Here is a 25,883-nt window from a genome sequence, read left to right as displayed (position 1 = left end):
GTAAAGATAATCCTAGAATTGACCCTTATATTTTTTAATTCATTCATTCATTGGACAAGTATCAATCCAATATCTTGGAAATCAAATACATAGTGCTGCATGTTATGGAAAATATGAATATGAGTAAGAAAGTCCTTCCCTCAAGTAGCATACACTACATTAGGGCATAATTTAACATTTTAACAAATAACTGTGCATTAAGAAATACACAGACTTGCCGGGCGCGGTAGCTCACGCCTATAATCCCAGCACTTTGGGAGGCCAAGGCAGGCGGATCACGAGGTGAGGAGATTGAGACCATCCCGGCTAACATGGTGAAACCCCGTCTCTACTAAAAATACAAAAAATTAGCCGGGCGTAGTGGCGGGCGCCTGTAGTCCCAGCTACTCAGGAGGCTGAGGCAGGAGAATGGCGTGAACCGAGGAGGCGGAGCTTGTAGTGAGCCGAGATCTTGCCACTGCACTCCAGCCTGGGCGACAGAGCGAGACTGCGTCTCGCTCAGAAAAAATAAATAAATAAAATAAAAACACAGACTTGGCTCAGCCCGGCGGCTCATGCCTGTAATCCCAGCACTTTGGGAGGCTGAGGTGAGTGGATCACTTGAGGCCAGGAGTTCGAGACCAGCCTGGGCAACATGGCGAAATTAAGTCTCTACAAAAAATACAAAAATTAGCCCGATATGGTGGTATACACCTATAGTACCAGCTACTTGGGAGGCTGAGGTGGGAGGATCACCTGAGCCTGGGAGGTTGCAGTGAACTGAGGTCACGCCACTGTACTCCAGCCTGGATGATAGAGTGAGACCCTATCTCAAATAAATAAATAAATAAATAAAAACAAAAAAGAAAGAAAAGAAAGGAAAAGAAAATCCACACAGACTTAAGTGGATTTAAAGGAAGTGCTCTTACCTTGGAGAAATGAGGAAAATTTATTTTAAGAGCTGAGATTTGAAGGACTACAATATTTTGCAGATGGAGAATGAAGAGAAAGACATTTGGTAGGGGAAATAGCAGAATGAATGACTTACAGGCAGGAAACAACCATGGGTCCAGGCTCATTGTTGTACTGAGAACCGGGAGAAGATAATGTAAGATGGTAGACAGGGATAAAACTAGAGGGACAGAATATAAAATTTTTTCAGATTTCTGTAAGAAAATTTGCCAAATTCAATATGATGACATGTCTAACATAGTCTAATAACAAACAAGTATATTCTACAATTCTGGTAGGGAAATCCCACATCTTTAAAAAGATAATGGTGTTCTCCTTACCTACCATAAAGAATCTGATTTTACTTTCTTTTGTCAGGGTAGGAAGAAAGAGTTAGAAAAATATTTTCAATTCGATACACTTGTTCCAAGGGAAAATATTAATATAAATACTTTACACCTTTTCCATTTATCTCCAAATAAACCTCTAAAGGAAAGCCTGAGCAATTTTTTTTTTTTTTTTGAGACGGAGTCTCATTCTGTCGCCAAGTTGGAGTGCAGTGGAGCGATCTCAGCTCACTGCAATCTCTGCCTCCTGGGTCCAAGCGATTCTCCTGCCTCAGCCTCCCATCTGGGACTACAGGTGCCCACCACCACGCCCGGCCAGCAATTTTCTTTATCTTAATAAATACGAAGGGGCCGGGTGCAGTGGCTCACACTTGTAATCCTAGCACTTTGGGAGGCTGAGGCGGGCAGATCACAAGGTCAGGAGTTCAAGACCAGCCTGGCCAACATGGTGAAACCCCGTCTCTACTAAAAGTACAAAAATTAGCCAGGCGTGGTGGTGGGTGCCTATAATCCCAGCTACTTGGGAGGCTGAGGCAGGAGAATCACTTGAACCTGGGAGGCGGAGGTTGCAGTGAGCCGAGATCGTGCCACTGCACTCCACCCTGGTGACAGAGTGAGACTCTGACTCAAAAAAAAAATAAAAAATAAAAATAAATAGGAAGTCAGAAAGGAAAAAGATGGGCTGGACGGGATGGCTTATGCCTGTAATCCCACCACTCTGGGAGGCTGAGGTGGGTGGATCACTTGCGGTCTGGAGTTCAAGACCAGCCTGGCCAATGTGGTGAAACCCCATCTCTACTAAAAATACAAAAATTAGCCAGGTGTGGTGGTGGGCACCTGTAATCCCAGCTACTTGGGAGGCTGAGGCAGGAAAATCGCTTGAACCCAGGAGGCAGAGGTTGCAGTGAGCCGAGATTGCACCAGTGCACTCCAGACTGGGCGACAGAGTGAGACTCTGTCTCAAAAAAAAATAAAAATAAAAAACTTGAAGGAATTTTCTATTCAAGCTGTTTAAGACTAGGCTTTTTAGTAAGAGGTATTTCCTGGTATTTAATTAAACAATATTTTCTAAGATCTTAGGGCTAGGACTCTTACTTAATAGGATAATTGGGGAAATATGGCCATGCACAGTAGCTCATGCCTGTAATCCCAGCACTTTGGGAGGCCAAGGTGGGTGGATCACTCAATGTCAGGAGTTTGAGACCAGTCTGGCCAACATAGTGTAACCCCGTCTCTACTAAAAATACAAGTTAGCTGGACATGGTGGTAGGTGCCTGTAATCCTAGCTACTTAGGAGGCTGAGGCAGGAGAATCGTTTGAACCCGGGAGGCGGAGGTTACTGTGAGCCGAGATCATGCCACTGCACTACATCCTGGGTGACAGAGTGAGTCTCCATCTCAAAAAACAAACAAACAAACAAAAAACTGGGAAAAGTACAATTTGTTGTTTAAAAGAGGGAATTCTGGGCCAGGCGCGGTGGCTCACGCCTGTAATCCCAGCACTTTGGGAGGCTGAGGCGGGCAGATCACCTGAGGTCCGGAGTCTGAGACCAGCATGGCCAACATGATGAAACCCAGTCTCTACTAAAAATACAAAATTAGCCTGGCGTGGTGGCACATGCTTGTAATCCCAGCTACTCGGGAGGCTGAGGCAGGAGAATCGCTTGAACCCGGGAGGCGGAGGTTGTGGTGAGCCAAGATCACGCCATTGCACCCCAGCCTGGGCAACAAGAGTGAAACTCCATCTCAAAAAAAGTAAAAATAAAAACAAAAATAAAATAATAAAGGAATTTTTAGGGGTACCATTTAAATATTCCTCTTTACAATGAAACAATTGATTAGGGGTTTATCTAAGTTGGGGGAAAATGACACCAAAGTAACCTGAATCAGTAAAAAGGAAAAAAAATTTAAACCTTGTACTCTTTTTGTTGTTGTTGTTGTTGTTGTTGTTGTTGTTGTTGTTTTGAGATGGAGTTTTGCTCTTGTTGCCCAGGCTGGAGTGCAATGGTGCAATCTCGGCTCACCGCAACCTCCGCCTCCCAGGTTCAAGCAATTCTCCTGCCTCGGTCTCCCAAGTAGCTGGGATTACGAGCATGTGCCACCATGCCCGGCTAATTTTGTATTTTTTTAGTAGAGACAGGGGTTTCTCCATGTTGAGGCTGGTCTCGAACTCCTGACCTCAGGTGATCCACCTGCCTCGGCCTCCCAAAGTGCTGGGATTACAGGCGTGAGCCACAGCGCCCTGCCTAAACCTTGTACTCTTAAGTTTCAAATTAATTTTTTCATTGATTTAAATGCCTAATTCTCAGTCCCAAAAAATCAAAGACTCTGATTCACTGGTAGTACTAAAATAGTAACATAGAAAAACATCCCTATTAAAATAAATTGAAACTGAATCATTAAATTATTTTAACAGGTTACCTTAAAATAATAACATCATTTTGTGGGTATATTTTGTATGTAAATGTAAAATTGAAGATAAAAGTAGCACAAAAGAGGCGGGAGCAGGTAAATGGAATTTTACTGTTGTAAGTTTCGTACATTTTATGTGAAGTGTCAAAATATTAATTCTAAGTACACTGTAATAAGTTAATGATGAATATGGAAATTCCTAAGGCAAAGTCTAAAAAAAATACAAAGATGGATCGCTAAAAAGCTAATAGAGGAACTATAATCCAATATTTAAAATATTTTTAACATTTATTAAAAATTTAAAAATTCCGGAAAATAAAGTAGGATATGAGGAATAGAACAAAAAACAGATGAGAAAACTAGAAAACAAATAGCAAGATGGTACTGGCAAATGAGCTAAACATTTCCACTAAAATGCATAGATTGGCTGGTCACTGTGGCTCATACCTGTAATTCCAACACTTTCGGAGGCCAAGACAGGCAGATCACTTGAGGTCAAGAGTTTAAGACCAGACTGGTCAACATGGTGAAACCCCGTCTCTACTAAAAATACAAAAATTAGCCAGGTGTGGTGGCGCATGCCTGTAATCCCAGCTATTCAGGAGGCTGAGGCAGGAGAATTGCTTAAACCCAGAACGTGGAGGTTGCAGCGAGCCAAGACTGGGCCACTGCACTCCAGCCTGGGGGACAGAGTGAGACTCCATACTGAAAAAAAAAAATGCATAGATTGTCATACTGGTTTAAAAAAAAAAAAAAGCCCTAACCTGGAATAGTATTCAGCAACAAAAAGAAATGAACTATTGGCGTTCACAACAACACAGATGGACCATAAGGGAATTATGCTAAAGGAAAAAAGCCAATCTCAAAGGTAGTATATTGTATGATTCCATTTATATAATATTCTTGAAATAGCCTAAAGATGGAGAAAAGATTAGTGGTTGCCAGGGGTTAGGAGTCAGCAGAGAGAAAGGAATGTGGCTATAAAGGGATAGCACCTGGGGGCCCTGTGGTGTTGATACAATTATGTACTTTGATTGTGGTGCTGATTACAAAAAGCTACACATGTAATAAAATTACATAGAACTACACACACACACACACACACACACACACGAGTACACACAAGCAGGAGAAATCTGAATAAGCTCTATAGATTGTACCAGTGTTCATTTTCTAGTATTGACACTGTAATATATATATATTTGCAAGATGTTAACAGTATGAGAGATTGAGTGAAGTGTACACAGGGCCTGCCTATATATTTCTTTTCAGCATGTACCTAACTATATATTGTTATAAGAAATGACTTCAAATACAAAGGACATCAAATGATACAAATAGGTTGGAAATAAAAGGATGGCCAAGAATATGCCATGTGGGAAGCAAGCATAAGAAAAACTTCATAAAAGGGAATATTATCAGAGATGAAGTGGAGCGTTTCATAACAGTAAAAGGATCTGTTCATTACGAAGACATATAGGCTGGGCACAGTGGCTCACCTGTAATACCAGCACTTTGGGTGGCCAAGGTGGGCAGATTGCTTAAGCTCAGGAGTTAGTGACCATGGTGGGCAATATGGCAAAACCCCGTCTCTACCAAAAATACAAAAACCAGCTGGGTGTGGTGGCATGTGCCTGTAGTCCCAGCTACTCAGGAGGGTGAGGCAGGAGAATTGTCTGAGCCCAGGAGGTTGAGGCTGCAGTGAGACATGCCGCTGCACTCCAGCCTGGGAGACAGAGTAAAATACTGTCTCAAAAAAAACCCCCAAAGACAAAGAAAAATATAAGTCTAAATGTGTATGCACCTAATAACATAGCTTCAAAATACATGAAGCAAAAGTTGGCAGAACCAAAGAGAGAAATAGACAAACAACAATCATAACTGGAGATTTTAACATTCCACTCCATCAAGTTAATAAAACAACTGGAAGAAAAAAAATAGAAGATTTCGGCCGGGTGCAGTGGCTCACGGCTGTAATCTCACCACTTTGGGAGGCCAAGGTGGGTGGATCACCTGAGGTCAGGAGTTCAAGACCAGCCTGGCCAACATGGTGAAACCCCGTCTCTAATAAAAGTAGAAAAATTAGCTGGGCGTGGTGGCAGGCACCTGTAATCCCAGCTACTCAGCAGGCTGACGCAGGAGAATCACTTGAACCCGGGAAGCGGAGTTTACAGCGAGCTGAGATTGCGCCACTGCACTCCAGCCTGGGGGACAAGAGTGAGACTTCATCTCAAAAAAAAAAAAAATAGAAGATTTCAACACCACTATCAACCACATTTATTGAATTAATATTTATAGAGCAGTATACCATTCTGTTCAACATTGTACTGGAGGCCCTAGTCAGGGTAACAAGACACTAGAAGGAAACAAATGTATAAAGATCAGAAAGAAAGAAGTAAAACTGATTTTCCTCACAGACAACATGATTTTCTACACAGAAAATCTGAAAGAATCTACCAAAAAAAGCCTCTTAAGCGAAAAAGAAATGTAAGGGTCACAGAATCCCAGACCAATATCTAGAAATCAACTGTGTTTTTGTATGCTAGCAACAGACAACTAGATTCAAATTTAAAATACCATTTATAATAACAAAAAATGTGAAATACTTAGGAATAAATTTAACCAAATGTATGCAAAACGCTAAAAATGATGAAACATTAATAAAAGAAATTAAAGAACTAAACAGAGAGATACACTGTATGTATGGACTGGATAACTCAGTATTGTTAAGATGTCAGTACTCCTCAAATTTATCTATAGATTCAGTGCAGTACCAATCAAAATTCCAGAAGTTTTTAAAAATAGACATTGATGAGTCAATTCTAAAGTTTATATGGAAATGCAAACAACCTAGAAAAGTTAAAACAATTTTTAAAAAGAAGAACGAGATTAGAAGATTCACATTATCTTATTTCAAGACTTCCATAATGCTACAGTAATGAAAACAGTGTGGTATTGTTAGAAAGACAAACATACAGATTAGTTGAATAGAACAGAGTCAAGAAATAAGCTCAGAGTATATAAATAACTCTTGTAACCTGATAATAAAATAATAAACAGCCCAACTTTAAAATTAAATAAAAGATTTGAGCAGACATATTACCAAAGAAGATATACAGTTGGCAATTGGCAAATAAGCACATGAAAAAATGTTCAACATGTTCAAATGTTAGGGAAATAAAAATTAAAAACTACATTGAGATACTACAGCAAACCTACTACAATGGTTAAAATTTTAAAGATTGGGCCGGGCACGGTGGCTCATGCCTATAATCCCACTACTTCGGAAGCCCGAGGCAGGTAGATTACCTGAGATCAGGAGTTAGAGACCAGCCTGGCCAACACGGCGAAACCATCTCTACTAAAAGTACAAAAATTAGCCAGGCACGGTCGTGGGTGCCTGTAATCCCAGCCACTCAGGAGGCTGAGGCAGGGGAACCACTTGAACCCAGGAGGCAGAGGTTGCAGTGAGCTGAGATCATGCCACTGCACTCCAGCCCAGGCGACAAGATCAAGACTCCGTCTAAAAAAAAAACATTTAAAGATTGACAGCTTCAAGGAGTAGTGATTATGTGGAGAAACTGAAGCTCTCACACATTATGAGTGACATGCAAAATGATAACAGCCACTTTGGAAAAAAGCTGGACAGTTTCTTATAAAATTAAACATAGACCCATCATACAACTCACCAATACTATACCTAAGCATTTATCCAAGAGAAAGAAAAACATATGCAAATGTTTATAGTGGCTTTATTCATAATTGCCCCCAAATGGAAACAATCCATGTGTCCCACAACTGGTAAACAGATAAATTGTAGTGCATCTGTACAATAAAATACTACTACTGAGTTATGCAACAATATGGATAAATCTCAAAGGCATTATGCTAAGTGAAAGAAGCCATGCACAAAAGGTAAAATAACATATAATTCCATTTGTATAATATTGTGTATAAGCCAAAACTAGAGGGAAAAAAAATCAGATTATGGGTCCCAGAGACTCTGTCTGTCTCTTGCCTCTATCTCAAAAACACAAACAAAGTAAGTAGAAGAAAAGAAATATGTAAAGATATCTAAAGAGCATGGGAGGTTGAGGCTGCAGTAAGCCGTGATCACGCCACTGCACTCCAGCCTAAGTAACAGAGTGAGACCCTGTCTCAAAGCAAAACAAAACAAAACAAACAAACAAAAAAATTACAAAGCCCAAAGTTGGCTCTTTGAAAAAAATAAAATTGGTAAAACTATGACAAGATTGGTCAGGGGAAAATATGAGAAAACACAAATTACCAATATGAGACACAAAAGCCATATCACTAGAGATCTTATGGGCATGAAAATAATAGAAAAAAATATATGAACAACTAAGTCAATAAATTTGACAAACTGCATGAAAGAGACAAATTTCTTAAAAATACAAATTAGCAAAACTGACACAAGAAAAAACTGAATATGTGTAAATAAAGTTGAATTTGCCTTTGATTACCTTCCCACAAAGAAAGCTCCAGACCCCTATAGTTTTACTGGTAAATTCTATCAGACAGTAAGGAAGAAAAAATATTCACATTATACAACGCCTTCAGAAAACTGAGAAGGAAACAATTCTCAACAATTCTGTTTTATAAGGCCAACACAATCCTGATACCAAAACCAGATGAGAAGACTAGAGTCTAATGCCTGTCATCAACAAACGTGTAATATATATTAATTAGAAAATAAAATTCAATACAAAAATTAGCTAGGTGTGGTGGTACACACCTGTAATCTCAGCTACTTGGGAGGCTGAGGCACGAGAATTGCTTGAAGCTAGGAGGCGGAGGTTGCAGTGAGGTGAGATTGTGTCCCTGGACTCCAGCCTGGGCAACAGAGCAAGACTGTCTCAAAAAAACAAAATTAATTTAATTTAATTTTTTTTTTTTGAGTTGGAGTATCGCTCTTGTTGCCTAGGCTGGAGTGCAATGGCGTGATCTCGGCTCACTGCAACCTCCGCCTCCCAGGTTCAAGCAATTCTCCTGCCTCAGCCTCCTGAGTAGCTGGGATTACAGGCATGTACCACCACACCTGGCTGATTTTGTATTTTTAGTAGAGACGGGGTTTCTCCACGTTGAGGCTGGTCTCAAACTCCTGACCTCAGGTGATCCACCTGCCTCGGCCTCCCGAAGTGCTGGGATTACAGGCGTAAGCCACTGCGCCCAGCCAATTTAATTTAATTTTTAAAACATTTTTTAAATCTTTTTAAAAATTAAAAAAACTGTTCATTGAAATGGACTTTGTCTTAGTCCGTTTTTTGTTCCTGTATCTGAAAACCTGAGACTGTGTAATTTATAAAAAAAAAAAAAATATATTTTTCACAGCTCTGGGGTCTGGAAAGTTCAAGCTCAAGGAGCTGCATCCGATCAGGGCTTCCTCACTGCATCGTAGCATGGAGGAGGGCATCTCACAGCAAGAGGTCAAGAGCATGTCAGGTCAGCTTTCTCTCCCTCTTCTTATATAGCCACCATCCTAATTACCTTCCAAGGGCCCCACCTCCAAATACCATCAACATATGAATTTGCAGATGAAATTTTGGAGGCCGGGCGTGGTGGCTCACTCCTGTAATCCAGCACTTTGGCAGACCGAGGCAGGTGGATCACCTGAGGTCAGGAGTTTGAGACAAGCCTAGCCAACATGGCAAAACCCTGTCTCTGCTAAAAATAGAAAAATTAGCCGGGTGTGATGGCACGTGCCTGTAGTCCCAGCTACTCGGGAGACTGAGGCTGGAGTATGGCTTGAACCTGGGAGGCAGAGGTTACAGTGAGCCGAGATTGCGCCATTGCACTCCAGCCTGGGTGACAGAGAGAGATTTCATCTAAAAATAAAATTTTTTTTAAAAAGGCCAAGCATGGTGGCTCACACCCGTAATCCCAGCACTTTGGGAGGCCAAGGCAGGCGGATCACCTGAGGTCAGGAGTTCGAGACCAGCCTGGCCAACATGGTGAAACTCCATCTCTACTAAAAATACAAAAAAAAAAAAAAAAAAAAAAAAAAAAAAAATTAGCCAGACATGGTGGCAGGCACCTGTAATCCCAGTCACTGGGGAGGCTGAGGCAAGAGAATCACTTGAACCCTGGAGGCGGCGGCTGCAGTGAGCCGAGATCGTGCCATTGCACTCCAGCCTTTGAGACTTTGTCTCAAAAAAAACAAAGAAAGAAAGAAAGAAATTTTGGGGACACATTCAAACCATAACAAACTAACAAATGTCAGCAAATTTGAAAATTTCTATTCATTGTAAGACCCATTAAGAAAATGAATAGCGAAGACACAGACTGGGAATAAACATTTATTATATAATATGTGTATGTATTATGTAATTACTATATTATATGTTATTATATTATAATAATGATTTAAATACATATTATATAATATAGGAGGTAATATCTAAAAAAAGACTGTGCCCAGAATGTATAAATAGCTCCTATAAATCTATAATAACAATAAAAAAAAACCAATGACCCAATTTTAAAAATAAGAGAAGGCTTAAATGGGCACTTCACAAAGAAAAATTTATAAGTAGCCAATAAGCACATGAAAAAGAGTTCAAAATCATTAGCCATTAGGGAAATTTTAATAAAACCTCAATGAAATACCATTATACCCTTACTAGAATGACTAAAATTAAAAAGACTGGTAACACCAAATGTTGGCAGGGATGTGTAGCAATAGGAACTCTCATAGCTTACTGGTGGGAGTGTAAAATGCACAACCACTTTGCAAATCAGTATGGCAGTTTCTCATTAAGTATACACCCTCCTGTGACCCAGTCACAGAACTTCTAGGTTTTACTTAAAAGAAATGGAAACGCCGGGCACGGTGGCTCACGCCTGTAATCCCAGCACTTTGGGAGGCCGAGGCGGGTGGATCACGAGGTCAGGAGATCGAGACCATCCTGGCTAACACAGTGAAACCCTGTCTCTACTAAAAATACAAAAAATTAGCTGGGCGTCGTGGCACACGCCTGTAGTCCCAGCTGTTCCGGAGGCTGAGGCAGGAGAATGGCGTGAACCCGGGAGGCGGAGCTTGCAGTGAGCCGAGATCGTGCCACTGCACTCCGGCCTGGGTAACAGAGCAAGGTCTCAAAAAAAAGAAAAAAGAAAAGAAAAAAGAAATGGAAACATATACACAAAAAGACTCGTACAGGAAAATTCTTAGCAGCTTTATTCATACTATCCTAAAATTGGAAACAACCCAAATGCCTGTCAACAGGAGAATGGATAAACAAATCATGATATAGCCATAACTGAATACTACTTATTAAGAAAAAGGAACAAACTGCTGATACACACCGCAACATAAGTGAATCTCAAAATGCCGAGTGAAAAAGCCAGACACAATCGAGTACACACAATAAAACTTCATCACATGGAGTTCTACAACCAGTAAAACTAATCACTGCTCAAAGAAATAATCAGAAGAGTATTTGTCTCTGTGGGTGAAGAGGATGGGGATGGACTAGGAAGGGAACAAGGGACCTTTTCGGGGATCTTTGATATCTTGATAGAGATATGGGTTATATGGCCGGGCACCGTGGCTCATGCCTGTAATCCCAGCACTTTTGGGAGGCTGAGGCGGCCAAATCACTTCAGGTCGGGAGTTCAACACCAGCCTGACCAACATGGTGGAACCCCATCTCTACTAAAAAATATAAAAATAAGCCGAGTGTGGTGGCAGACACCTGTAATCCTAGCTACTCAGGAGGCTGAGGCAGGAAAATTGCTTGTCCCCGGGAGGCGGAGGTTGCAGTGAGCCAAGATGGTGCCACAGCACTCCAGCCTGGGCAACAGAGTGAGACTCCATCTCAAAAAATAAATAAATAGCCGGGTGTGGTGGCTCACACCTATAATCCCAACACTTTGGGAGGCTGAGGTGGGCAGATCTTTTGAGGTCAGGAGTTTGAGACTAGCCTGACCAACATGGTGAAACCCCATCTCTACTAAAAATACAAAATTAGTCAGATGTGGTGGCGCATGCCTGTAATCCCAGCTACTCAGGAGGCTGAGGCAGGAGAATCACTTGAACCCGGGAGGCAGAGGTTGCAGTGAGCTGAGATCGTGCCACTGCAATCCAGCCTGGGTGACAGAGCCAGACTCTGTCTCAAAATAAATAAATAAATAAATGTTATATGGGTATATGTAATTAGCAACATTCATCAGCTTGTACACTTAATATCTGTGTATTTCCACATATGTATATTTTACCTCAATTAGAAAACAATTTTTGGCCGGGTGCAGTGGCTCACGCCTGTAATCCCAGCACTTTGGGAGGCTGAGGCAGATGGATCACGAGGTCAGGAGATCGAGACCATCCTGGCTAACACGGTGAAACCCCATCTCTACTAAAAATACAAAAAATTAGCCGGGCATGGTGGCGGGCGCCTGTAGTCCCAGCTACTCGGGAGGCTGAGGCAGAATGGCATGAACCCAGAAGGTGGAGCTTGCAGTGAGCAGAGATTGTGCCACTGCACTTCAGCCTGGGCGACAGAGCGAGACTCTGTCTCAAAAAAAAAAAAAAGAAAAGAAAACAATTTTTGAGAAGTAAATGGGAAAACAATGATTAAAATTACTTTAACAAAACGAGCTCAGTAAAGTCTGTTTTTAAGAGAAATTGCCGGGTGTGGTGGCTCACGCCTGTAATCCCAGCACTTTGGGAGGCCGAGGCAGATGGATCACTTGAGGTCAGGAGTTTGAGACCAACCTGTCCAACAGGTGAAACCCCGTCTCTACTAAAAATACAAAAATTAGCCGGGCGTGGTGGCGCATGCCTGTAATCCCAGCTACTAGGTAGGCTAAGGCAGGAGAATTGCTTGAACCGGGGACGCAAAGGTTGCAGTGAGCCGAGATCGTGCCATTGGACTCCAGCCTGGGTGACAGAGAGAGACTCCGTCTCAAAAAAAAAAAAAAAAGAGAGAGAAATCAAAATAACTCTGGGACCAATTGAAATCAAAGACTTTGTAATTAGAAAAAAGGAGGAAGAGGAAGAGGTTCTAACCATCAGGATCATCACTTGTTGATGGCTTCCTAAGAACTCTGCCAACTACTTCACAGTGTTCGTTTCATTCCCACAGCCCATCTTTCAGACATAGGAGAAAAAGGATGCTTTAATAAACAAATTCTCCCCACCATCCTTAGCAAACGCTTTAGGTATAAAAGCCCCCTTATAAACTCAAGATAATAAGGCATTTTTTTCTCTCTTTTAAATCTCAAGCAATAAGTAGTGAATCTCTTCTTAAATCTGTTATTATCATAATAAATGTGAACCATAGGATAAAATACCTATTACTGTTTTTGGTTTCAGCAATATTCATACAATATGTACTGTGATCCATGACCACAAGTTTTTTTTTTTTTTTTTTTTTTTTTTGGAGACAAGGTCTGGATCTGCTACCCAGGCTGGAGTGCAGTGGCATGATCATGGCTCATTGCAGCCTCAACCACCCAAGCTCAAGCTATTCTCCCTCTTCATCCTCTTGAGTAGCTGGAACTACAGGCATGCATCACCATGGCCTGGCTAGTTTTTGTATTTTTGGTACAGACAGGGTTTCACCATGCTGCCTAGGCTGGCCTCCAACTCGTGTGCTCAAGTGATCTGCCTACCTTGGCCTCCCAATGTGCTAGGATTACAGGCATGAGCCACCACACCCAGCTTCACAATTCTTAAAACATCTTAATTCCATGATCTAGACAATTTGCCCTTCACAGTGTCCACTGGGGGCTAGAAAGCATGATTTGCCTAATGAATATTTTACCTAACTGCTAAAATGAATCTAGCGCAACTTCCCTGCCAGTTCAACTACAATCTCAAGAATATAACCTCTCATAGGCTCCTGCATGAACTGCAGACTGTTTCAAAAGACGTTAACAAGAATAGGAAGGGGCAAGATGGTCCTTACCACATCCAATATAGCATGGACGAACAGGTCCAGGTAGACTGTGGTGGCCTTGGTCCAGTTGTAAACAGGTCTCACTTCTTTATGATATTTCTGTAATAGCTGCTTGCTGAGATGATACAGAGCAGAATCCTGGGGATGATGTGTATCTGTGGCTAGAATTCCTGGAAAATAAACTATCATTGTGAAGATAAAAGTAAGAGGAGCTTGGTTTCTTTAGGAGGTTTCAGACTGTTCAGGACTCGGTGGCTTTTACTAGAATATAGCTTTCAGCTCACCAAAATCTGCATCAATTCACAGCCAGCTGGTGGGGCCTTTGGCAAATGCTTAAAGTAAGCTGATGGCCTAAGTGCCCAATGGAGAAACCTCATTGTAAAAACAAGTAAATCAACGCCATCTCCAAGGTTGGAAAACTGTACCTACAATTCCATTTTACAACAATCTTGCATTTTGGAGACAGAATAATTTCTTTATTCCTGTATCATCCTCTCCTAGCATCTAGAAAAAACCCACCTACACACTTAGCCAAAACTTAACTCCCGCGTTGGTTTTTCTTTTGATTTTTCATGCGTAATTCAAAAATTCAATAGAAAAATCAAGCAAAAAAACATGAAGAAACCCATTAACCCAAAAAACTTGTATAGATTTCTAGATAAAGGGATTAACGAGAGCCCAATTTGTACTTTTCTCCTCAAAAATCTCTTTTCTCATTTCATCTGTCCTTAAATAAAATGCACTTGTCAGAAAATGAGATCTTTGTTTTGAGAAAATTCTCTCTGGTTCCAGGGAACAACCATTTCTTCTGACCCAAAAATCTTGATTTGTAGAGGAGCTGTGACTGGTGTTGAGGCCAGGGAGGCCAGAGGAAGGGAAGCAAGAGAAATGAGCACCAGCAATTGGAAGTGACAAATTTGTGAGGGCTTTCTCTGAATTGCAAAAAGATATTTTGTTCACAAGCTTTGCCAGCCCTTAGGGGATTCAATGCTTCACTCAGTCATTGGACCGAAGCAAATTGCACACCTCCTGACAAAGTGCGTGAGTGAAATCTCTCTGTAGTGTCCTGCGTGTGAATTTGCCTGGGCTGTCAGTGGTTTTGATGGTTATTTTGATGAGCTGCCAAAGGTATGAGGGATCCAGCAGGAAACTGTAAATGAGATCGCTTCTCCCTGTGCGACAATCCTGTTTATACCCATTTCTTTATGAATGATGTCATGTCACTTGCCGCTACAGGCAGCAATTTCTATGATTTAACAATGTCAGTGTGACCAAAACGCTAACAACAATGCTGGAGGTACAATGCCAGACTCCTTGTGGGCAGTGCAATATACACTTTCATTACCGTCGGAACTGGGAATCTAATGAGCATTTTAACTCCCTAACAATCCACCCAAGAAGATGCCTAAAATGGCGTTAGCTATTCAGGCGTGCAGGACTAAGGTGTGTGGCTTGCATCAGGCATCATTTGTAGGGTTTTTGTGAACTGTTATTGTCAAAAAGTGTGCTGTGAATCTCTCTACCTGAGAACATTTCTCGCTGGTGTACCCCAGGGGAGGGAAGTCAGGAGCACAAGGCAAAGCTGTCCCAGTGCTTTTCCTGCCAACTTTGCTGTGGGCAGCTTCACGTTTACCTCGCTTGGAAGCTCCCAATTCAAGTCTCAGTTGGGGAAACACCGAAATGAGTATGTTTCAATACAGGAAATTACCCGAGACAGCATTAAAACATAATTCTGAGAAATGAATATGTGTTCCTCGCACTGTCTGCTCACAAAGACTCAAATTCCCCTCTGCGATCTTGTCTAGGAAGCAATCCATAGATTCCCTATGGATAAACTCATGTTTTCTAGAATGGGTCAAAATCTTGGTTAAAAAGAGAAAGTTCTGGAAGCTAGGACTAGGAACAAAAGAGAATCAAGCACTGAAAGGAGAAAAATAATAAGCAAATGGAAATATGCTTAAATAAACCAAAAGGGGAAAGAGTTCTTTGTTTAAGATGGGAAGAAATAATAAATTACATTTCTACTATGAATGCAAATTTGCCTGAGGAGAAAGATCAATTACAGGAGAGAGATTAAGGATTTAAGTGACCATTAATTAACAGTAAATTATGCCCCTTGAAAGCTAATGTGACATTCACACAAGCACTAAATGACTCACAGTTCAGTGATGTTTCAACAGACACTGATGGAAGCTATCAACAGACCCAGAAAAGATTCCTCGCCAAAACTGCCTTCTTGAATGCTAATAATCAGCTTCAAATGATTCACTTGTAAGATTTCTGGAAAGTAGAATGTGTTAGGGACTGAGCTATGAAGCACTTGCAGGTGAAGAGAGATTGAAAAGGAGGAAGATAAGAACACAGTAAAATTATTCCTGTGTTTTCCTTGTTTTAATGACTTACTCTCCCATGCACCTATCTTAAAGTGTTCAGGGCACTTTGATGGAAAGCACTATTCTTGCTTTAGTCACTATGTATCTGTAGGATTATAAGAGAGTTACACATATATCTGAGAGGTTAAAAGGAAATGAGATTTATGTATTGAATTCCTAACACTAATTGAATGCTGACTGTATGCCAGGCACCAGGCTAAGTCCTCACATGAATGATCTCCTTCAAAGTTCCCAACAAACTTATGAGACAGGTACTCTACAGCTCTGTGAGGAGTGCACTATTCCTGCAGATGAGGGACTATTGGCATAGTGAGCTTAGCACTGCCCAAGGTCATGAAGCTTGCAAGTGAAGGGAGTGATATTTACACACAGCTGGTCTGGATTCGAAGTCCAAGCTCTTAATCATGACGCTACATGATTAAGTGTAACCTGGCTCCCTGAGAATATCAGGAACAACAGCAAGTAACCTTTCAAAAAGAAGACTGACATGTTGTATGGAGTATATTATTGGACAGAAATAGCCAGTGGTATTTTCTGCATGTGTTTTCAGGTTAATAATATCTTACATTTGCATTTCACCTTACAATTTAACAATGCTGTCTTATCTGATTGTCATGAATATCCAAAATAAAGTTAGCTTACAGGAAAACTGAGTCTCTAAGAGATTAATTGACTTCCCAGGGTTACGTGGCTGGTGAGTGGTGAAGCAGGAATTAGCTGGCTCTCCTTGTTCAGGCCTCCTTCTATACCAGCACACTGCCCCCTGGGATTGGTTCCGTGCTCTTACACTTAACAAATCATCTTGATTTGTAAATATAGTAAAATACGTAAAGTAAACATAGTAAAACCCAGTACAATTCCACAGGGCAGGTCTTTCTGCAACAAGTATCCACGGAATGATTTATGGTAAAGCACTGGTTATCAGACACTATTAAAACACTTCTTTCTGCTACATTTAGAACAAAAATCATGCATAATACAAAACATTAGAGAGATATTGTTAAGAACTTAGTCTGTTTTCTTACCTTCATTTTTCTATTTTATCTTAGTTTAATGTTCACGATTATTTTCTACTAAGAAACCCATTTGGCATTTAATGACACTTCCTCTGTTTTTATTTTTTACAATTAAGATATGCTTTTATCCTTTATGTTCAACATCCAGGATTTTTATACTTTAATGATAAGTGGCTATTTTTCTTCTCTACCCAATAAAAAAATCATTTCCAGCTTCCTGGCTACCAAATTTCTAACTCATCTCTATAATTGACTCATTCCACTTCCAGTTACATCCTAAAACTTGAGAATTCAGATATGAGCTCTAGGAGAAACCTCAAGAAAGTGGGGTGTTGAGAACACCAGCATAATCATAAATTCTTGATTTGTGCGCATGTACTAAGAATCAATTGTATCCTAACTAAAATGATTCAATTCAGTAGAGTTAATACTGGTGCCATGGAAATATAGTTCTAGAAATTTAGAAAAAAAAGTATTAACTTCTAAATTACTTTTAAGAGGAATTGTAGACTCAAAACTTACCAGTTTATAGTACCTGTCTTTAGAGATATACTCATCACCTATATAGATTTTGTAAGGCGAGATGTTAAGGCCTCTAATACCAAAATGATATACATATATCTGTAGCCATGACAAATCTAGTGGACTTTTTCTCTGGGCTGCTAACAGCTGATAATGAAGCCAAGACTATTTTGGATAATAAAAACATATTATCCACACATAAAAGCAAATTTGAAAAAGAATGCCCCAAACTCTCAATCAACCTGCAGAGAGCTTGATTTCTAGAGAAGCAGAGATTTATCAAGCAATTATAACATTTCAGAGCATATTTTCAGCTATGTGTAAAAAGCCCCACAGTCTGATGCTATATGTATACGTATTTGCAATCATAGGAGCCAAGTCACAAACAAATCATTGTTTTCCATATAGCTTCACAGGACTGGCATTTTACAGACGATGAATAAAAACAAACATGCCTGAGAAGTCCTACAGTACGGTGTATACAAATATTGTCTCTATCTTCTAAGAGTTAATCCTTAATGCCTAGTAAAATTATTAAAAGGACTCACCTGCAGCCACCAGGATGCAGGCCCACAGGGGAGCCATTACACTTGACAACATTCCTGGGCAGATCCCAAAAAGGAGAAATGCAAACTTGCCTACCAGATGGAATGCCGCTCAATTTCTCCTAACAGGGTTCCTCTCCACTCTGTTCTCCTCCTTCTCCGTTTGCCAGTTGATGCTATCCTTACTGGTGCTATTTTGTAAACACTCAGTGGGACCAAAGGCAATACCAGCACCATGCAAATGTTTTGGAATTGATGCCGTCATGAAATCCCTTAACTTCTCCCTTTGGTTCTGCCCCAAGATCAGACCGTGGCCAACATTTCCATTTTCCTGACAGGAGATAGCTAAGTGAATAATGTAATCTAAGAGGAGCCCCTAAGGAGAGGAAATTCCACACTAATATGATTTCCTTTACAGCCTTTACCTAAGGCAGTACTCTTGCTGACATTCAGGACACTAATTTCATTAATAATTGAAATCCAAATAGCTGTTCTAAATCAGACTTATGCAGTAACATCTTCAGCATTTGACAGTGGTTCTTGGGCTCTTGAATTACACAAGGCTAATGGAAACCTGGTATTGTCTAATGAAGAACAACTGCAAACAATGCAATGGAAAAGTGCTTTTTGTTTTTCCTAAGCCCTTTTAATTAAAAGAAACATTGACTTTTGATAAATAGGAGGGCTTCTCAAATTTTCACTGCTCACAATTCAGAAAGTAACCTTCTAGAAAGGATGCTTCTAGGCTTATTGAAGATGAAAACAAAGTTCAACATCATTTAATAAAAGTTTTTTTTTCACTTTTTGATTGAATACGCATTCATTTTTCATTACTAAGGAACATGATGCATAATTCTATACAATAACACTATTTTCCATTTCTAGACACCCCCAGATGCTCTAGAAAGAAAAAACAAATACCATTTCCAACATCTGCCTGCTTTTTTATTAAAAATGAGATTATAGAGGCAAATTTTGATATAAATTTTCACAGAGCCAACCGAAGGGGGGAAAGTATATATTTGATTCCTATTCTCCTAATCACTCAGTCCCTTTGTTTAGAATCCATGAAGTTCTACACCTAATTTTCATCTACCAATAAAATGTAGCCTAATTGCTTTCTTACTGTTGGTGAAGGGAGTGGTATACACAGAAAGAGAGAAAACTAAGATAACCATTTGGTGTTGACTTGGTTTTGGAGGTATCAGTGTGAACCCATGGTTTTCAGTACATTTGCTAAATATATAAATAATTGCAAATAAGCTGGGCGTGGTGGCTCAAGCCTGTAATCCCAGCACTTTGGGAGGCCGAGGCCAGTGGATCACTTGAGGTTAGGAGTTTGAGACCAGCCTGACCAACATGGTGAGCCCCATCTCTACTGAAACTACAAAAATTAGTCAGGCGTGGTGGCACATGCCTGTAATCCCAGCTACTCGGGAGGCTGAGGCAGGGGAATTGTTTGAATCAGGAGGTGGAGGTTGCCATGAACCAAGATCGCGCCACTGCACTCCAGCCTGGGAGACAGAGGGAGACTCCGCCTCAAAAAAAAAAAAAAAAAAAGAAAAGAAAAGAAATAAATACAAATGTAATGTGTGTTTGCACATGTTCATACATGCATATATTCCCTAGCTCTGTCCACTTAGCAGCCTAGGAGAATGACACCCCAATAGTAACAAGCACACCTAGCTTCCATAGCTCTTCCGGTATAGTCTTGCCAAAAATTCATAACTTGAATCTATTCAGGAGGAAACACCAGATGAGACAGTGGCATACTGTGGGACAAACAAAACAGCAGGCATCTTCAAAAGTGCCAAGGTGGGCCAGGTGCAATGGCTCATACCTGTAATCCCAGTACTTTGGGAGGTTGAAGTAAGAGGACTGCTTGAGCCCAGGAATTTGAGACCAGCCTAAGCTACATAAGGATACCCTGTCTCCACACAAAAAAATAAAAGATTAGTTTAATGTGGTGGTGCACTCCTGTAGTCCCAGCTACTTGGGAGGCTGAGGCAGGAGGATCACTTGAGCTCAGGAGATAGAGTCTGCAGTGAGCTGTGATTGTGCCACTGCACTCCAGCCTGGGCAATAGAGGTAGACCCTGTCTCAAAAACAAAAACACACACACACAAAAGTGCCAAGGTTATAAAAGTTAAGGAAAGACTGAGGAACCTATCAGACTAAAGAGACACAAGCACAATATCTGATTCTGAATTGGATCCTTTTGTTATAAAGAACATTTTGGGAAGAATTGAAACTCGAATGAGGTATGTGGATTAGATGGTAGTAATGTGGCAATGTAGTAATGTTGGTTTCCTGATTTTAATTGTATAGAGATTATGCAAAAGAATGTCCTTGTTTGTAAGACCAGCACACTAAGTATTCAAGAATGAGGGAAGATCGCACACAGTGGCTCACGCCTGTAATCCCAGCACTTTAGGAGACCTAGGTGGGTAGATCACCTGAGATCAGGAGTTCAAGGCCAGCCTGGCCAACATGGTGAAACCCTGTCTCTACTAAAAATACAAAAATTAGCCCGGCACGGTGGCACATGCCTGTAATTCCAGCTACTCAGGAGGCTGAGGCATGAGAATCTTGTGAACCCAGAAGGCAGAGGTTGCACTGAGCCGAGATCACACCACTGCACTTCAGCCTGGGCGACAGAATGAGACTCTGTCTCAGAAAAGAAAAAAAAAACAAAAAACAAAAACAGGGCACATCATGTTGATCATGTCGCTAACTTATTCTCAAATGATTGTGGGGGTCTAGGGGAATTCTTTGTACTATCCATCCAATTCTGCTATACATTTGAAAATATTTCAGAAGAAAGAGTAATTTAAATGTAACTTGGTGGAGGAACTTTGGTACACAGTTATGGAAAGTTTATCTGAGAAATACTCTTTAGAGAGGGTGGGCAGATAAATGGGGCTTCATCAAGAGGGAAGATCATAGAGGACTGATCTGGCCCTCAAAGTCTCAGCTCTTCCTATCAGTTCTTTGAATTGTCAGCTTCTACTTATGGGATGAATTAGGACAAGAGAAAGGCAAGCTACAGGCAATATAGCTATGTAGGTAGCAGTTTTTATGGGAAAGCAATGCAGAAGCATCCCTTTATGCAAAGGTTTAATTGAGGCGATGATCGACATTGCATTCTTGCCATGCATTGTAGTAAGCTATGACTCTAAGTCAAACCTTCTGGGGACGTGCTTCCCTCCCTTTTCTTTGCACTTTCTGATATGCCCATCTGTTACTGGAAGGCCATTACTAATGATGTGTAATACAGGTACATTACAACTTTCATTAGCTAACTTAACAACAGTCTAGTAATCCTGCCCATTATGGCTCTTTATTGGCTGATGAATTCTGTCAAGATGGCAATGATTTTGTATGAGTGACTTGTCTTCAAAGTAGTTTATATACAATGCTTCCTGATCTTTCCTTGACAGCCTTGCTCTGTACTGTCAGCTGGCTTAGATCTTTCTTTTTCTAATCTTAGTGTCCTGTCTGGACTTTGTTTACTCAGTACTTTTAGCTTTTTTTTTTTTTTTCCCTAAGAGGCAGAGTTTCACTCTGTCGCCCAGGCTGGAATGCAGTGGTGTGATCATGGCTCACTGTAGCCTCCATCTCCCAGCCTCAAGCAATCCTCCCATCCCAGCCTCCCATAGCTGGGAGTATATGTGTGTGCCACCACACCTGGCTAATTTCTTCTCTTTTTAGTAGAGATGAGGTGTTGGTATGTTGCCCAGGCTGGTCTTGATCTCCTGAGCTCAAGTGATCCTTCCGCCTTGGCCTCCCCAGTAGCTAGGAATATAGGCATGCACCACTACACCCAGCTCATACTCAGTTCTTTTAGGTTTGGTATTGCTCCTCTCCCCACCCTTCAGTTTTTCACAAAAATGGTCCCTCCTCACTATCTTACATACAGCATTTTTCATCCACTAATATGGTTTGGCTGTATGTCCCCACCCAAATCTCATCTCAAATTTCAATCCGCATGTGTCAGAGGAGGGGCCTGGTGAGAGGTTATTGGATCATGGGGGCAGATTTTCCCCTTGCTGTTCTCATGATAGTGAGTTCTCATGAGACCTGATAGTTTAAAAGTGTGGCGCTTCCCCCTTCTCTCTCTCTCTCCACCATGGATGATGTTGCCTTGCTTCCCCTTCCCCTTCCACCATGATTGTAAGTTTCCTGAGGTCTCCCCAGCCATGCAGAACTATGGGTCAATTAAACCACTTTCTTTATAAATTACCCAGTCTCGTGGATCACCTGAGGTCAGGAGTTCGAGACCAGCCTGACCAACATGGTGAAACCCCATCTCTACTAAAAATACAAAATTAGCTGGGCATGGTGGCCCATGCCTGTTATCCCAGCTACTCAGGAGGCTGAGGAAGGAGAATCGCTTGAACCCAGAAGGCAGAGGTTGCAGTGAGCCGAGATTGCGTCATTGCACTCCAGCCTGGGAACAAGAGCAAAACTCCATCTCAAAAAATAAAACAAAATAAAATAAAATAAATAACCCAGTTTCAGGTATGCCTGTATAGCAGTGTGAGAATAGACTAATACATCCACCCAGAGAAAGCTTTTTATCTGCATTGTTTCTGCTAATTCCCCAGACATCATCCTTGGAAGGATGAGTGTGGGGGTAAGTCTCATTCTAGCCTTTCCAGCAGATCAGTATATGTAAGTCAAAATTTGGAATCATGAGGGGCTAGGCATTTGGACTTCTTTCTTTTTTTTGAGATGGAGTCTTGCACTGTTTTCCAGGCTGGAGTGCAGTGGTGTGATCTCGGCTCACTGCAACCTCTGCCTCCCAAGTTCAAGTGATTCTCCTGCCTCAGCCTCCCGAGTAGCTGGGACTACAGGTGCATGCCACCACACCCGGCTAATTTTTGTATTGTTAGTAGATACAGGGTTTCACCAGGCTAGTCTCGAACTCCTGACCTCAGGTGATCCACCTGCCTCGGCCTCCCAAAGTTTTAAGATTACAGGTGTAAGCCACCTCACCCAAACGTGTTTGGACTTCTTAAGTGGCATTACTTGGGTAAAAGAAACAAAGACTTAATCTGGGATTTGAATCTGCGATTCTCTTACAGAAGTTCAGGCCAAGCCCATCATTAAGAAAGTACCTGAAAATATATTTCTTTTAGAAGTCCCCACTTCACATCCCCATGAGCCTTTGCACTCTGTTTCTCCATTATTTTCAAGTAAGATATGGCACCTATTAGATCGACCGATGTCTTTTGGAAGAAGCAAGGGGAGAGGGTTTATTATGCAAACATAATAAGGAAGTGTTTATTATGCAAACAGCAACTGAGTTATGCGTCCTTTAAGACTACTAAATAGTTTTTAATTACTGCTATACCAGTAAATCCCATAAATATGCAAATGCAATTAGTTCAAAAAATAGGCCTTAAATATCTTTATTCCTCTCCAACAAAGTTCTTTGAAGTTAATCGCTAACTCTCTTTGTTCACTCCCTTGGCAGTCATGCTAAAATTGACAGGAATTTTGACAGATGTACATATTCGGGGAACCAAATTTTCTGAGCACATCTGGTCAGGCTGGAGGAAAAAAGCAGAAATGGACATTCCAGCCAAACTCAAACATTTAATGAGTAGAGTCCCATATGAAATTTCTGTTACTCCACAGTGTTTTCCTCTGAAATCAATATCAAGCTAACCACAGAGGAGGCACCTCAAGTCCAAAGACACACTCAGCATTCGATTTTCCTCTAGCTTAGAATTTCATTTTTAATAATAATGCACATTTTACGGTCCTTAAAAAGTAAACAAATAAACAAGGGAATGGAGTCCCTCATGGTTCTGGCCTTTCGTGGTTTTTGTGTCATGGTTTTCTATGGGAGGTCATAGAGCATAAGATATAAGGTCCCAGGCCTTCAAGTCAGACTTACCTCATTGTGCATCCTAGCTTCATCGCTTGCTAGATGCTCATGGCCTTGGTCAAACTCCTTACTGCTTCTAAGCCTTAGTTTTCACATCCTTAAAGAGGGTTTAAACAGCATTGAGTTAGTTTTCTACGGCTGCATTAAAAATTACCACAAATTTATGGGCTTAAAACAGCACTCATCTAGCTCACAGTCCTGTAGGTCAAAAGTCCAGGAACAGAATGAACAGATCTGCTCAGGGTCTCACAAGGCTGAAATCATGGTCACGTGCTGGAGCCAGCTCTCACTGATCAAAAAGACCATTGTTTTTTCATTTGTTTCCAGTGATATCAGTTGGTAAATTGAAATCAGTCAGCCAGGAGCAGTGGTTCACACCTTGGAAGCACTTTGGAAGGCTAACTCAGGCAGATCACTTGAGCCCAGGAGTTCAAGACCAGCCTGGCTAACGTAGTGAAACCCTGTGTCTACGAAAACTACAAAAAAATTGCTGGGTATCGTGGTGCGTGCCTGTAGCCCCAGCTAGCTGGGAGGCTGAGGTGGGAGGATCACCTGAGCTTGGGGAGGTCAAGGCTGCAGTGAGCTGTGATTGTGCCACTGTACTCTAGCCTTAGCAACAGAGTGAGGCTCTGCCTCAAAAGAAGAAAGAAAGAAGGAAAGAAAGAAAGAAAGAGAAAAAGAAAGAGAGAGAGAAAAAGAGAAAGAAAGAAAGAGGAAGGAAGGAAGGAAGGAAGGAAGGAAGAAAGGAAGAAAGAAAGAAAGAAAGAAAGAAAGAAAGAAAGAAAGAAAGAAAGAAAGAAAGAAAGAAAGAAAGAAAGGAAGAAAGTCATAATGACAAAATTTGTCACATGGAAATCAGCAAACACTCCCACCAGGACCCCTCCCACCAGCTGTTTTCAAAACATCTAACTACATGCTGTGACCACTCCCTTGATCTTACAAGGCCTCATATATTCCTACATTACAGTACTCATTCAGGTGTGTTATAAGTATTTGTTTACTTTTCTGTCAGTCTAGAATTTGGTGAATACCTTGAAGGTGGAGCAATGTTGTGTTATTCAGCTTTATATCTCCATCGTAGAGCTTGGCACCTAGTAAGTGTTCATTGAGTGTTCCAGAAAGATGGGAGGAAAACAGGGAAGAAAGAATTAACAAATGAACAGAAAAGAATTCTGGCTTATGCCAGAAAGATGATGCCAAGAGGAATCCAGCCTTTTCATAACCACATCCAAGATGAGATACACTCACCACCCATTTCACAAAGGATGGGTGAGAATGACAACTTGGTTCTGAAGCAAGATTGCCTTTATTTGGTTTGCTCCAGAACCAGGGAGCAATTAGTGCAAAAGACAAACATGAGACACCGGTGCAGGCAGATCATGAGTCCCTTTGACTCACTCAGAGTGTACTCCAAGTTCAGAGATTTTACAGTCCTTGGGGGTAAGATGTACCCCAAAAGCTAGAGGAAAATAGAAGGTGGAAGGAACTTGGAGGAACACAGAAGCTTGCTGCTTCTGTTTACGCTCCCAATGACATCAATTCCAAGAAACCGCTTAGTGAGACTACAATATACGACAGACAGTCTTACCCTGTACACTATGTTGTTTAGATCTTCTGCACAGATTATGGGCCTTGAAGTCTTGCTGTGCCAGCACTGGGGGATCTCCCCTGATCTATGGCTCACTGTAGGGCCCCCAACATTTCCATTTAGACCCATTTAGACATTTTCTGGGGAAAGGCAGTCAATTACTGCAGCCAGTGAGATGTTCTGGTTCAGGTGTAAATCTCTGGATATTTCCATCTCTGCTATGACTCAAGATGAGGAAAGATCTTTGATCCTTTAGAAATTTATTTATTTATTCATTCATTCATCCACTTAGTAAGTAGGAAATTGTGATAGACATTG

General features: G+C 41.1%; 1 protein-coding gene across 4 annotated transcripts in view; it reads right to left on the bottom strand.

Moving 5' to 3' along the window:
- HTR3B (5-hydroxytryptamine receptor 3B) overlaps positions 1-24,147 on the bottom strand; it is a 50,157-nt gene extending 26,010 nt beyond the window's left edge. For 2 of the 4 annotated variants that reach the window (NM_001363563.2, XM_047427869.1), the window contains exon 1: positions 13,615-14,074. In NM_001363563.2, the coding sequence (NP_001350492.1) occupies positions 13,615-13,794 (180 nt within the window). In that variant the 5' untranslated portion in view covers positions 13,795-14,074. Of the gene's footprint in view, positions 1-13,614; positions 14,075-18,084; positions 18,275-23,986 lie in introns of those variants that run through there. The other 2 variants (XM_024448767.2, NM_006028.5) reach the window with 2 other exon arrangements.

The sequence above is a fragment of the Homo sapiens genome, chromosome 11 (assembly GCF_000001405.40).
Source record: "Homo sapiens chromosome 11, GRCh38.p14 Primary Assembly".
Taxonomy (NCBI): domain Eukaryota; kingdom Metazoa; phylum Chordata; class Mammalia; order Primates; family Hominidae; genus Homo; species Homo sapiens.
Note: the sequence above shows the minus strand (reverse complement) of the source record. Positions and strands in the feature narration are given on the sequence as shown.